Genomic DNA, 14,824 nt, shown 5'->3' with positions numbered 1-14,824 from the left:
TGCGTGGCTAATTTTTAATATCTTTGGTAGAGAAGGGGTTTCGCCATGTTGCCCAGGCTGTTCTCAAACTCTTGAGCTCAGGCAATCCACCTGCCTCGGTCTCTCAACGTGCTGGGATTACAGGCGTGAGCCACCACGCCTGACCAGTGTTCTCTTCTTAATATAAGAGCTTACTCCTCTCTCTTCATTCCTCCTTTATATCTCTATCAAGAGTATAGAAAATTTTGTTGTTGTTGCTTTGATACTTATTGTTGTCTGGCAACACCAGAGTATAAGGTGGAGGTGTGATTGGGAGTAGTATTGGCTAAAATTATTAGTCTTAGATGAATTTTGGCATTTTAATATCAGTCAAGTAAGTATATATTTAACGCTGTATGCTGAGTACTATACTAAGATTTGGAGTGTTGTGCTTTATCTGGAAATATCAAGAAAATTATACAAAAATATAGGAAATGTGCAAGAACCCTTTCTTTCACTGAAAACCTAGGCCCAGCACAGATTCTGACACACAGTAGATACTCAATAATTGTTAGTTAAATGAATATATGTGAAAAATGTATTTTTGTGGAGATGTCACATAAGGTGCAGTGCTTTGAATATCAGGAGATTATGGAGGAGGCTGGGCATGGTGGCTCACACCTGTAATCCCAGCACTTTGGGAGGCCAAGGTGGGCAGATCACCTGAGGTCAGGAGTTCAAGACCAGCCTGGCCAACATGGCAAAACCCCATCTCTACTAAAAATACAAAAATTAGGCGGGTGTGGTGGCACAGGCCTGTAATCCCAGCTACTCGGGAGGCTGAGGCAGGAGAATCGCTTGAACCAGGGAGATGCAGCTTGCAGTGAGCCGATATCGCACCGCTGCACTCCAGCCTGAGCGACAGAGAGACTCCGTCTCAAAAAAAAAAAAAAGAAAAAAAAATGGATCATGGAGTAAAATATATCAAATCAATTCACTAAATGTTTACCCTTTCTGAGTGCAGGATTAGTTCTAGTTATTTGGGGATACTCCTATGATTAACTATAGTCTAACTTTTGTGAATATGATGTTTGTCATTTAACAAAATAAATACAAATCTGGGCACTGAGATTATAATACTCAGACATATCTATCACTAGCAAAATGTTGATGCAAATGACTTATATAAGAGACTTTTTAAAGCCCAAAGATTGATCAAACTCTATATAAAGAACTATTCCTAATAGAACAGGCTGGAGTTCTATTCCAGTATTTGACAGTATTTGGGAGTAGAACACTCACAAAGTTTATGGCATCAATGTATCAAAAGACCAGTATGCCAAGAAGGCAGGAATAGGGAGATCCAAAAAAAAAAAAAAAAAAAAAAAGGATGCTGGTGCCATGGATGGCTTCTGGAAGCTTAAGACTAGATGTGAGCTTGGAGTTTATGCCAAGAATGAGGGTGAGTTAGGAGTCATAAAAATAAATGTTCTCTAGGAACTGGTCATAACAGTAGGTTGAGGCCTGACATGGCATGACTTGTAGGTTATTTGCACATACGCCATTGGTTTTTGACTTCTTATCTGTTATCATTTTCTAAAGAATCTCATGGAAAGAAAATATGTTGATGAGACATCCATATTATAAACTAGAATATCTTAGCGGCTATATTTGTAGGAATATAATCTGACCCACAATGATATTTTCATAAAAATCTAAATAAATAACAAATTTATATAGCACCAGTATGAGTCTTTTGTGTTCACATCACTAGAATAATATTGAAGAAAAGAAGAAAAACTTTAATTTTAGCCCTAGTAATTACATATGATTTTAATCTTTCTGCTTCATTTTTTCTTGCACATCTTTTGGGAATATAAAAATAACCTGGTGAAATATTCACAAATGTTTTAAAAGGAATTATCATATTTTAATGTCTAAAAAGAGGCAAAAATAATTATCAGTATTATTAACTGTAGGAATTGTAGCACAGTGAATAGTTTTTCTAACAGTAGACTGACTGTCAGAATTTGTTGTCATCTAAGACCTTAGTGTTAAATTGTTAAATATTGTGATACTTTATTTAGAATTGTTGTGGGGTTTACATATGATAATGCATGTATTATAGAGTATTCAGTAACATGCCTGGAAAACAGAAACTGCTTAACAAACGGAAACTGCTGCTACTATCTCTACGTGATGTTTGCTATTTATTAGAGATGGACTCTCTTGTGGCCATTCCACTAGTTTATTCTAAAATGTATCACAGTCGGATCAAGCATGGATTACTTACTAAGTTCCCAAATAAAATGTCATAAAAACAAACATCTACATCTTTAAATCTTTGGAACAATTAAAAAAAAAAAACATTGTTTTTTTGTAGAGGCGGAGCCTCGCTATATAAACCACGGTGGTCTCAAACTCTGGCCTAAAGTTATCCTCCCACGTCAGCTTCCCAAACTGCTGGAATTACAGGTGTGAGCCACTGCGCCTGACCCTTTGGAATAATTTCTTCATGCTTTATATCCACATGTTAAAAAAACTGTTGGCAGCAGTTGGTGATGCAAGCAGAGATGAATAGCTGCTAATTAAGCACCGTTTTCTGTAAATTTTATACCAGAAGGAGGTCATGGAAAATGAGTACACATTCTACAGGCTTAACTCTTTTGAGAACAGTGAATATCTTAGACTAGAGGTTATATATAATTTGGAAGTACCCATTCAGTCTAAAAGTAAAAACCTCATTTTTCACAAATGATAATATATAAAAATGCTGTAGTATATTCGAATTTTTTTGAAATTGAAGCCTAGAGCAATACTAAACGTAAAGAGTGGTAGTGGGTATTGTTTAAAAAGCTCATTTATTTCCCTTGATTTTTGTTAACATCTCAGTGCAGGACCTTTCTGAGTTTTTATCACCCTCCTGCCTTTTCTTTTGCTAAGAAAAGTTCATAAATAGCTGCTGCTCTCCTTGCTTTCTGCCACACTCTTTTGATCGTGTTCCCTTAGAGATACCACAGGTTAAGAGAAAGCTGCTGTAATTATGAATGAAATTAAAATTCCTTCAGCTCGCTTTACTGTGGATTGTCAACGTATTTGCCTCAATGTATTAAATGACAAATTCTCTTAGACCTTTATAAAATACAAAATTTCAGATTTTTGAAATCCGAATGCAAGGTTTGGAAATAATATATTTAAGAGTTTTTTTGTTTGTTTGTTTAATAAAATACCATTTTTTCCTCCTTCTCCTCCTCTTTCGTAAGTCTTGCAGTACTGAGCTCCTATGTCTGCTCCTGGCAGAAGGCAGGGCTAAGTAGATGAGAAGAGATTGTTGATAGAGAAATTTCCCTCACAATCTAGACAACTTGTTAGTGGCCTCCATTGTTCTGGTGGAATTTAAATTGTGTTTAGCTCTTAAAGTCCTATCTAATGATTAGGACATATATTATGCTGAACTTGGCTTTTCAGAAAAGGTATACAGAAATTTCATTGTAACAAATTTGTATTCTACAAAGAAGAATTGCATATTAACACAAATAAGTTCAACTCAAAAGGCTTTAGGGTTACATTTATTAACCAGAAAGACTTCGCAGATTTTTTTCCCTGGGAGAAAAATGCTCTACTTTCCAAACCTTAGTCATATTCTTAATTCTGGGTGATTTTTCATTTATCTCTAGTAGTTTTATTTCTAAGTCATTTAACTGTATTCCTTGGCACTGCTGACCTACAGCAATATCAGACATCTCTGTGGCTGATAAACACTTGAGAAGCTCACTATTTTCCTTTTGAAGTAAGAAGACCTCCTACTACTTTCTTTTCCCCTCAAGCTTCGTTGAGGTATAATTGACAAATTAAAATTGTATGTATTTAATAGTGTACAATGTGATGTTTTGATATATATATATACACTGTGAAATGATTACTACGATCAAGTTGATTATCATATCCATCACCTCACATAGTTACCATTTTTTTCTCACATGTCATTATAACAGAATTTTATTAGTAATCATCAAACACACATTGTTCAAATTTCACTGATTGTCTCATAAAATCTTATACAATTGATTTGTCAAGGCCTATATACTGTGATTGATTAAGGTGTCTCTTATGTCTACTTTAATCCTAGGTTTCTTCCTTTTTTTCCTTGCAATGTATTTGTTAAAGAAGTCAGGTAGCTTCCTGCATTTTGAATTTTGCTGTTTGTGCCCCTGTTCCTTAACATGTTTATTTTTTCTGTGTTCTCTGTATTTCCTACAAATTAGTAATTAAGATTCTAAAGGCTCTTACCAGATTTTTTGGCAGAAGTATTTCACAGGTGGTGTGGTGTATGTCCATCAGGGGTCTTGTATGTTAGTTGTTTTGTTTTTTGCGATATTAGCAGCCATCAGTGATCATTGCCTGGATTCTTTATTTCATCAGTGTTTGTAAAATAATAGTATTCTAATTGTGTCATTTTACTTTTCCTTTATGAGCTGGAATACTTCTCTAGAGTACAACTTCCCTTAGCAACTGTTAGATTACTCTGAGGTCCAATTGTCTGAGTTGCCTTTTTTTTGTGTGTGTGGTGAGAATATTTAATATCTACTCTCAGCAAATTTCAAGTGTACAATGCAGTATTATGAACTATAGTTACCAAGCTGTACACTAGATCTCCTTTTAAGAAAGAGAGAAGAAAGAAAGAAAGAAAGAAAGAAAGAAAGAAAGAAAGAAAGAAAGAAAGAAAGAAAGAAAATAAAAGAAAAGAAGGAAAAGAAAGAAAAGAAAGGAAAGAAAGGAAAAAGAGAGCATTCATGGAGACAATGCCCCAAAGAAATCAGAAATTTTCAAATGGATAACTCCTTTGAAGAAGGAATGAGATTCCTGTAATGGCTGCTTCCTGGAAGGCAGTGTCATGTGGAACCCCTTAGCCTCAGCATCCAGAGCTCCAGGAAGGGAACATTTCCAGTCAGGTAGAATTATATATATACTATTTCTTTGGAAACTTCAGCCATCAAGATTCAGCCATCAAAATTCCACCATCATGACTTCTGTTTCAACACAATGGCTCTTAGTCCTCATTTTACTGCTTTTGTTGCTGCCTGTTGTTGAAGCAGTAGAAGCCAGAAATGCAATTGCTGTCATGTTGGGTGTGGTTCTCAGCATTACAGGCATTTGTGCTTGCTTGGGGGTATGTGCACAAAAGAGAAATGGACAGATATGACTTTGAAGGGCATCCCAAATCAAACTTTGCCCTGAAAACCTTTGGACTAGTGAGGCTAAACTTGAGCTTTGGTGTTTGAAAATTTCCAAGAAACAGTAAATAGGGGAGTTCCACATTCTTAGTTGTTTTCCATAAAATGAGAGCAAATTGCTATGTATAAGAAAAAATGTTTTCCTTACAATAAATAATGCACTGAAAAATTAAGCCTATAATTTGTATTTGCTGCTTAGAAAGGGGGTTCAAGAAGTAAGATGGTTGACATTTACATAAGTAATATTTCATAGTTTTCTAATTATCTAAGCTGGGCATGGTGGCATGCGCCTGTAGTCCCAGCTACTTGAAAGGCTGAGGTGGGAGGATCACTTGAACCCAGGAGGTCGAGGCTGCAGTGAGTCATCATCACACCACTGCAGTACAGCCTTGGTGACAGAGTGAGATCTTGTCTCAAAAAAAAAAAAAAAAAAAAAAAGCACATGAAATAGGAAGAAGGAAGTTCTTGCCCAGAATCCTAAGAAATCACCACTGTTCAGTTATAATCACTGCCTCCTGAATCATTGAGGAGTCTTTTCTCCATATTTTCATTAGACTTTTGTTATTGCCCAAGTTAATATTGTATTTAAATATCAAATAGCCAAACATAGATGCTTTTATCTCTGGAGAAAAAACATTTAGAAAAATGCATTCAGTGTATCTAACATTGAAGTGGAGAAAAGAGTTAATGTAAAAAAATCCTTTATTTTTATATTTATCATTTTAAACTTTTATTTTAGGTTTGGGGTACATGTGAAAGTTTGTTACATAGGTAAACTCATGTCATGGGAGTTTGTTGTACAGATTATTTCATCACCCAGGTATTAAGCCCAGTACCCAATAGTTATATTTTTTACTCCTCTCCCTCCTCCCACCCTCCACCCTCAAGTAGACCTCAGTATCTATTGTTCTCTTCTTTGTGTTCATGAGTTCGCATCATTTAGCTCCCACTTACAAGTGAGAACATGTGGTACTTGGTTTGCTTTAAAAAAACACTTTATATTTACATTGAAATGGAGAAGATATTTAATGTTAAAAAACTTTATATTAATTAATTGAGTAACATCCCCATGGGGAGAAGTACTATATTAAATATAAACTCATTATGTTGTTAAAAAAAAAAGAAGGGACGAAATGATGTTGAAGATGAAACCTGCAGCAGCAGGCTGTACACAACAATTTGTGAGGAAAAAATTAATCGTTTGTGCTCTAATTGAAGAGGAGTGATGATTAATAGTACAAATAATAGCCAACACCATAGACATCTCAATTTGTTCTGCTTATACAAATCTGACTGAAAAAATTGAAGTGGAGCAAACTCAATGGGTGCCAAAACCATTGTGCCCAGATCAGCGGCAGATAAGAGCAGAGCTTTCATTGGAAATTTTAAACAAGTGGGATCAAAATCCTGAAGCATTTCTTCAAAGAATTGTAACAAGAGATGAACATGGCTTTACCAGTATGATCCCAAAGAGAAATTACAATAAAAGCAGTGGCTACCAAGAAGTGGAAGTGGTCTAGTCAAAGCAAAAGCAGCTCTGTCAAGAGTAAAGATCATAGCAACAGTTTTTTGGGATGCTCAAGGCATTTTGCCTGGTGATTTTTCTGGAGGGCCAAAGAATGATAATGTCTGCTTATTATGAGAGTTTTTTCAGAAAGCCAAAATTTTAGCAGGAAAATGCCTGAAAAGCTTCACCAGTGTCCTTCACCACAACAATGTTCCTGCTCATTCCTGTCATCAAACAAAAGTAATCTTGTGAATTTCAATGGAAAAACATTAGGCATCCACCTTACAGACATGATTTGGCTCCTTCTGACTTCTTTTTGTTTCCTAATCTTAAAAAATCTGTAAAAGGCACCCATTTTTCCTCAGTTAATGTGAAATGTGAAAAAGATTGCATTGACATAGCTAAATTCCTCAGTTCTTTATGGATGGACTAAATGGCTAGTATCACAAAGGTATCTTAAACTTGATGGAGCTTATGTTGATAAATAAAATTTATATTTTAATCTTTTAATTCCATTTTTCCAAAAGTTTTTTGAGGTCTCATAATATTCTGCAATTCCACAGGCTGTCTCTTCACTCTGTTAATTGTTTCCTTTGCAGTTGTACATGGTATTTAGTTAGATGTAATTCCATTTGTCTATTTTTGTTTTTGTTGTCTGTACTTTGGGGGTCATATCTAAAAAATAATTTCCCATACAATATCAATAAGCTTTCCCCCAGTTTTCTTCTAGTAATTTTACAGTTTCTGGTCTTACATTTAAGTCTGTAATCCATTTTTAATTGATTTTTTGCATAAGGTGGGAGATAAGGTTCCAATTTTATTCTTCTGTATGTGGATATCCAGGTTTTTCCAACACCATTTATTGGAGAAACTCTCTTTTCCCCATTGTATGTTCTTGGCAACTTTGTTGATCATCAGTTGCCCATAAATATGTGGATTTTGTTCTAGATATTCTATTCTATTCCATTGGTCTGTATGTCTTTTTAAAATGTCCATACCATGCTGTTTTAATGACTATTAGATGTCTAGTGTATTTTGAAATCAGGAAATGTGATGGCTCCAGCTTTGTTCTTTTTGCTCAAGATTGCTTTGGCTATTTAGGTCTTTTGTGATTCCATATAAATTTGAGGATTATTTTTTCTGCTTCTGTGAAAATGCCATTGTCATGTTGACAGGGATAAGACTGAATCTGTAGAATGCTTTAGGTAGTATGGACATTTAAAAATATTAAGTCTTCCAATCTATGAACACAGGATATCTGTCCCTTTATTTGTGTTTTCTTCAATTTCTTTCTTCAGTGTTTTATAGTTTTCAGTGTGCAAGTCTTTCACCTCCTTGGTTAAATTTACTCATAAGTATTTTATTTTTTGACACTATTATAAATGGGATTGTTTTCTTAATTTTTGGGTATAGTTCATTGTTTGCATATAAAAGCTACTGATTTTTATGTTGATTTTGTGATTTGCAACTTTATTGAATTTATTAGTTCTGACAGTTTTTTGGTAGCATTTTAAGGTTTTCTAATATAAGATTATGTCATCTGCAAACAATTTTACTTCTTCCTTTCAAATTTGAATGCCTTTCCCCCCCCCTCATCTTGCCTAATTGCTCTGGCTAAGACTTCTAGTACAATGTTGAATAGAAGTGGTGAGAGTGGGCATCTTTGCTTTGCTTTTTTCCTATGTTAGAGGAAATGTTTTAACCTTTTTACCATCTAGTATGATGTTAACTGTGGACTTGTTGCATGATTTTTATTATGATGAGGTACATTCCTTCTATTCCTAATTTTTTGAAATTTTTTTTTAATCTTGAAAGGATGAATTTTGTAACAGAAGATTTTTCTGCATCTATCAAGATGACTATATGATTTTTATCCTTTATTCTGTTCAAATGGTGTATCACATTTATTGATTTTTATATGCTGAACCACCCCCACCCTCATATCTGAGGAATAAATCCTAGTTGATCGTGCTGTATTTGGTTTGCTAGTATTTTGTTAAGGATTTTTTCATCTGTGTTCATCAGGGATAGTTTTTTTGTCATGTCCTTGTCTGGCTTTGATATTAGGGTAATGCTGGCCTCATAGAATGAGTGTGGATAGGTTCTTTCCTCTTCATTTTTAGGGAAGAGTTTGAGAAGGATTGGCGTTAAGTTTTTCTTAAATATTTAGTAGAATTCACCAGTGAAGGCATTTGGCCCTGTGTTTTCCTTGGTTGTGAGATTTTTGATTACTGATTCAGTCACCTTAACATTATTTTATGTTTCTGTGTTTGTTAACTTAAGGCCTCCAGCTGCATCCGTGTTGCTGCATAGGACATGATTTCATTCTTTTTAAATGGCTACATAGTATTTCATGGTGTATATGTACCACATTTACCTTATGCATTCTGCCATTGATGGGCAGCAAGGTTGGTTCCATGTCTTTACTATTGTGAATAGTGCTGCAATGAACATACAGGTGCATGTGTCTTTTTGGTACAACAATTTGTTTTCTTTTGGCTGTATCCCCAGTAATGAAATTGTGGAATCAAATAGTAGTTCTGTTTTAAGTTCTTTGAGAAATCTCCAAACTGCTTTCCACAGTGGCTGAACTAATTTACATCCCCACCAACAGTGTAAAAGAATTCCCTTTTCTCTGCAGCCCAGCTAACACCTGTTATTCTTTGACTTTTTAATAAAAACCACTTCGACTGGTGTGAGATGGTATCTCATTGTGGTTTTGATTTGCATTTCTCTGATGACTAGTGATGCTGAGCATTTTTTCATATGTTTGTTGACCACTTGTATGTCTTCTTTTGAGAATTGTCTGTTCATGTCTTTTTAACCCCCACTTTTTAATGGGGTTATATTTTGCTTGTTGAATTATTTAAATTCCTTAAAGATTCTGGGTATTAGACCTTTGTTGGATGCATAGCTTGCAAGTATTTACTCCCATTCTGTAGGTTGTCTGTTTACTCTGTTGATAGTTTCTTTTGCTGTGCAGCAGTTCTTTAGTTTAATTAGGTCCCACTTGTCAAGTTTTGGTTTTGTTGCAATTGCTTTTGGTGAGGACTTAGTCATAAATTATTTTCCAAGACTGATGCCACAAGGTAGTCTTCTTTGGCTTAAATCCACCTGGTGTTCTATAATCTGTTACTTGAATATTGATATCTCTCTAGGTTTGGGAAGTTCTCTGTTATTATCCCTTTGAATAAACTATCTACCACTATATCTTTCTCTACCTCCTCTTTAAGGTCAGTGATTCTTATATTTGCCCTTTATGAGGCTATATTCTAGATCTTGTAGGAATACTTCATTCTTTTTTCTTTTGTCTCCCCTGACTTGTATTTTTAATAGCCTGTCTTCAAGGTCACTACTTATTTCATCTACTTGTTCAGTTGCACTATTAAGATACTCTGATATCAGTATATCAATTGCATTTTTCTATTCCAGAATTTCTGCTTGATTCTTTGTAATTATTTCAATCACTTTGTTAGATATATCTGATAGGATTCTGAATTCCTTCTCTGTGTTATCCTGAATTTTTTTGTTTCCTCAAAAGGGCTAATTTGAATTCTCTGCCTGAAAGGTCACATATCTCTGTCACTCTGGGATTGGTCCCTGGTGCCTTATTTAGTTCATTTGGTAAGGGCATGTTTTCCTGGATGGTCTTGAGGCTTGTGGATATTTGTTGGTGTCTGGACAGTGAAGAGTTAGGTATTTACTGTAGTCTTTGCAGTCTGGGCTTATTTGTATCCATCATTTTTGGGAAGACTTTCTAATATTTGAAGGGATTTGCATGTTGTGTGCTATGTTTTTGGTCACAGCAGCCGTATCTGCCTTAGAAGGCACCCCAAGCCCAGTAACACTGTGAGTCTTGCAGACTTTTAGAGGTCTCACCTTGGTGGTGTTGGATGGGGTCCAGAAAAATTCTCTGGATTACCAAGCAGAGACTCTTTGTTCTCTTCCCTTGCTTTCTCTCTAACAAATGGAGTCTGTTTTTCTGTATTGAACTGTCTGGAGCTAGGGGAGGAGTGATACAAGCACCCCTGTGGCCACTACCCCTGGGACTGCTGTGTCTGACCTGAAGCCAGCGTAGTACTGGGTCTCACCCAAGGCCTGCTGTAATCTGCTACCTGGCTACCACCTATGTTTGCTTAATGAACGAGGGCTCTAATAGCAGGTGAGGCGATGAAGCTTGCCAGGCTTGTGTCCTTCAATTCAGGGCAGCAAGTTCCCCCTGGCTCCTGGTGGGTGCAAAGATGCTGGCCAGGAACAAGGGCCTGGAGTCAGAATCCTTAGGGAGCTACCTGGTGCTCCTTTTTACTGTGGCTGATCTGGCACCCAAGCCACAAGAAAAAGTTTTTTTCTACTCTTCCCTCCTCTTTCCACAAGCAGAGGAGTATCTTCCTATGGCCACCACTGTCACAGGCCCGTGGGGAGTACTGCCAGGCTCCACTGATGTTCACTGAAGGCCCAAGGGCTCTTCAGTCAGCTTGTGATGAATGGTGCCGGGTCTGGGACTCATCTTGCAAGGCAGTGCACTTCTCTCTGGCCCAGGGTAGGTCCAGAAATGCCATCCAAGAGTCAAGGTCTGGAATTGGGGACCCAAGAGACTGCTTGGTGCTCTACCCCACTGTGGCTGACCTGGTACCTAAGCTGCAAGATAAAGTCCCCTTTCATCTTCCCCTTTTTTTTGTCAAGCAGAAGGAGACTCTCCCCATAGCCACCATAGCTGGGAATGTGTTGGCTCACACCTGAAGCCAGCACATCTCAGATTCTCACCCAAGGCCCATCTATGGTATGCACTACTTGGCTATCGCTGCTGATTGTTCAAAATGTGTTGGCTTTCTAGCCAGTGGGTGATGAATCCTTTCAGGACCTGGTCTTTCCTTTCAAGGCAGCAGATCCCCTTCTGGCCCTGGTTGTGTCTAGAAATGTTATCCAGTAGCTAGGGCTTGGAATGGGTGTCTCATGACTCTTCCTGGTGTCCTATCCTACCATAGCAGAGTTGTTATCCAAATTGCAAGACCAAGCCCTGTTTACTCTTCCCTTTCCTCTCCTCAAGCAGAAGGAAGGGGGTCTCTTGGAGCTGCAACCTGTGCTGCCTGGGCTTGGGGGAGGGGCAGGGTAGGCACTCCCTTGGCCACCCAGGCTGGTGTCTCACATGCCCCCTAAGTTTACTGACTCCATACCCACAAGGACTTGCCTTGTGGCCTAGACTGCCTTTCAGGTTTATTTAGGACCCCAATGCACTTTAGCCGACAGCAATGAGGCTTGCTACAACTCAAGTTCCAATTACTGGAATGGATGATTGCCCTCTGACTAGGGCTGGTCTAAATGTGCTCTCCATTGACGTCAACTGATTTGTGCCTAGTGTTTTCTGCTGTGAAAGGGCGGCACTGAGTTGCGATGCAGAGTCTCACAATCATTGCACTCTCTATCCCCCAAACGCACAGATTCTTCCCATTATGTGGCTGTGAATGGGGAAGGGATGGTGTGGGCAATTCAAGACTGTCTTTCCTACCCTCTTCAGTGCCTCTTTCAGTTATATGAAGTTAAGACCAGGCACTGTGACCACTCACCTGATTTTTGGTTCCTACAAAATTGCTTTTTTTGTGCAGATAGTTGTCAAGTTTGGTGCTCCTGCAGGGAGAATGATCAGTGGAGACTTCCATTTGGCCATCTTGCTCTATCTCCCTCTACATTTATTTTGTATCCTGAAATTTTACTGAAGTCATTTATTAGTTCTAAGAGCCTTTTTTTTTTTTGGAGGCTTTAGTGCTTTCTAGTTATAGAATCATAATGTCAGTGAAGGGAGATAGTTTGACTTCTTCTTTTCCTATTTGGATGCTTTTAATTTCTTTCTCTTGCCTGATCGGTCTGGCTAGGATATATAGTACGTATTAGGCCATTCTTGTTTGCTATAAATACTTGAGACTGTTTTAATTTATAAGAAAAAAGGTTTAATTGGTTCATGGTTCTGTAGGCTGTACAGGAAACATAGTGCTGTCATCTGCTTCTGGTAAGGCCTCAGAAAGCTTTTTCTCATGGCAGAAGGTGAAGCGGGAGCAGACATTTCACCCGGCAAAAGCAGAAGAAAGAGAGTGAGGGTGGGAGGGAAAGTGCCACCCACTTCTACAAAACCAGATTTCGTGAGAACTCATTCACTCATCACCAAGGGGATGGGCTAAGCCATTCATGAGAGATATGCCCCCATGATCCAAACATCTTCCAGCAGGCCCTATCTCCAACACTGGAGATTACAAGTCAACATGAGATTTGGGCAGGGACATTCAAACTACACCACAGTACTATGTTGAATAGAAGTGGTGAGTGTGGGCGTCCTTGTTTGTTCCAGTTCTCAAGGGAAATGTTCCTAGTTTTGGCCTGTTCATTATGATGTTGGCCGTGGGTTTGTCATAGATGGCTCTTATTATTTTGAGATATGTTCCTTTGATGCCTAGTGTATTGGGGGTTTTTTATCATGAATGGGTGTTGGATTTTATTGAATGCATTTTCTGTGACTATTAGAGATGATCATGTGGTTTTTGTTTTTAATTCTGTTTATGTGGTCAGTCACATTCATTGATTTGAATATATTGAACCAATCTTGTATCCCAGGAATAAAGCCTACTTGATCGTGGTGAATTAACTTTTTAATGTGTTGCTGGATTCAGTTTGCTAGTATTTTGTTGAGGATTTTTGCATTGATGTTCATCAGTGATATTGGCTGGAAGTTTTGTTTTTTGTTGTTCCTGCCAGATTTAGGTATCAGGATGATGCCACCATCAGGATGATGCATCGTAGAATGAATTACGGAGGAGTCTCTCCTCTTTGATATTTTGGAATATTTTCAGTAGGATTGGTACCAGCTCTTCTTTGCATGCCTGGTAGAATTTGGATGTAAATTCTAGGTCCAGGGCTTTGTTGTCATTGTTGTTTTTGTCGTTGTTGATCTTCTTTCTCTATTTTCTTTGTTAATTTAGCTACCAGTCTGTGAATCTTGTTTATTCTTTCAAATAAAACCAAGTTTTGGTTTCGTTGATCTTTTGTATACAGTTTTACATCTCAATTTTATTCAGTTTTGCTATGGTTTTAGTCATTTTTTTTTCTTTTGTTAGCTTTGAGGTTAGTTTGTTTTTGTTTTTCTAATTCCTCTAGTTGTGATGTTACATTGTTAATTTTAGATCTTTCTAACTTCTTGATACAGGCATTTCATGCTATAAACTTTCCTCTTAACACTGCTTTTGCTGCATCCCAGATATATATTTGTGTGTGTATATATATATATATATATATATATATATATATATATATATATTTTTTTTTTTTTTTTTTTTTTTTTTTTTGAGACAGAGCCTTGCCCTGTAGCTCAGGCTGGAGTGCAGTGGGACCATCTTGGCTCACTGCAACCTCTGCCTCCTGGGTTAAAGCGATTCTCCTGCCTCAGCCTCCTGCATAGCTGGAACTACAGGCGTGTACCATGCCTGGCTAATTTTTTTTTTTTTTTTGAGACGGAGTTTTGCTCTTGTTGCCCGTGCTGGAGTGCAATGGCGCAATCTCGGCTCACCACAACCTCTGCCTCCTGGGTTCAAGTGATTCTCCTGCCTCAGCCTCTCGAGTAGCTGGAATTACAGGCATGTGCCACCATGCCCGGCTAATTTTGCATTTTTGGTAGAGACGGAGTTTCTTCATGTTGGTCAGGCTGGTCTTCAACTCCTGACCTCAAGTGATCCACCCGCCTCGGCCTCCCAAAGTGCTGGGATTACAGGCGTGAGCCACTGCATGGCCCATCCCAGAGATTTTGGCATGTCGTGTATCTTAATTAATTTCAAAGTATTTTTTATTTCTGCCTTAATTTTATTGTTTACCTGAAATCACTCAGTAACAAGTTGTGCTTAATTTCCAGGTAATTGTGTGGTTTTAAGGGATCTTCTTTGGTATTCATTTCTATTTTTATTGCACTGTGGTCTGAGTGTATGCTTGGTATGATTTCAGTTTGTTTGAATTCATTGAGATGTGCTTTATGCCCGAACATGTGGTCAATCTTAGAGTATGTTCTGCATGCAGATGAGAAGAATGTGTGTTCCATGGTTGCTGAGTGACATATTTTGTAGAAATCTATTAGGTCCAATTGTTCAAG

At 37.6% G+C, this 14,824-nt stretch overlaps 1 protein-coding gene and 1 pseudogene across 4 annotated transcripts in view; both read left to right on the top strand.

The window, feature by feature from the left end:
• TEX11 (testis expressed 11) overlaps window positions 1-14,824 on the top strand; it is a 397,485-nt gene that overhangs the window by 102,394 nt on the left and 280,267 nt on the right. The window lies entirely within an intron of this gene.
• Window positions 4,982-5,161, top strand: LOC112268306 (small integral membrane protein 30-like; annotated as a pseudogene).

Source organism: Homo sapiens, chromosome X (genome assembly GCF_000001405.40).
Source record: "Homo sapiens chromosome X, GRCh38.p14 Primary Assembly".
Taxonomy (NCBI): Eukaryota; Metazoa; Chordata; class Mammalia; order Primates; family Hominidae; genus Homo; species Homo sapiens.
The sequence above is the reverse complement of the archived record's forward strand: the minus strand, read 5'-3'. Positions and strand labels throughout refer to the sequence as shown.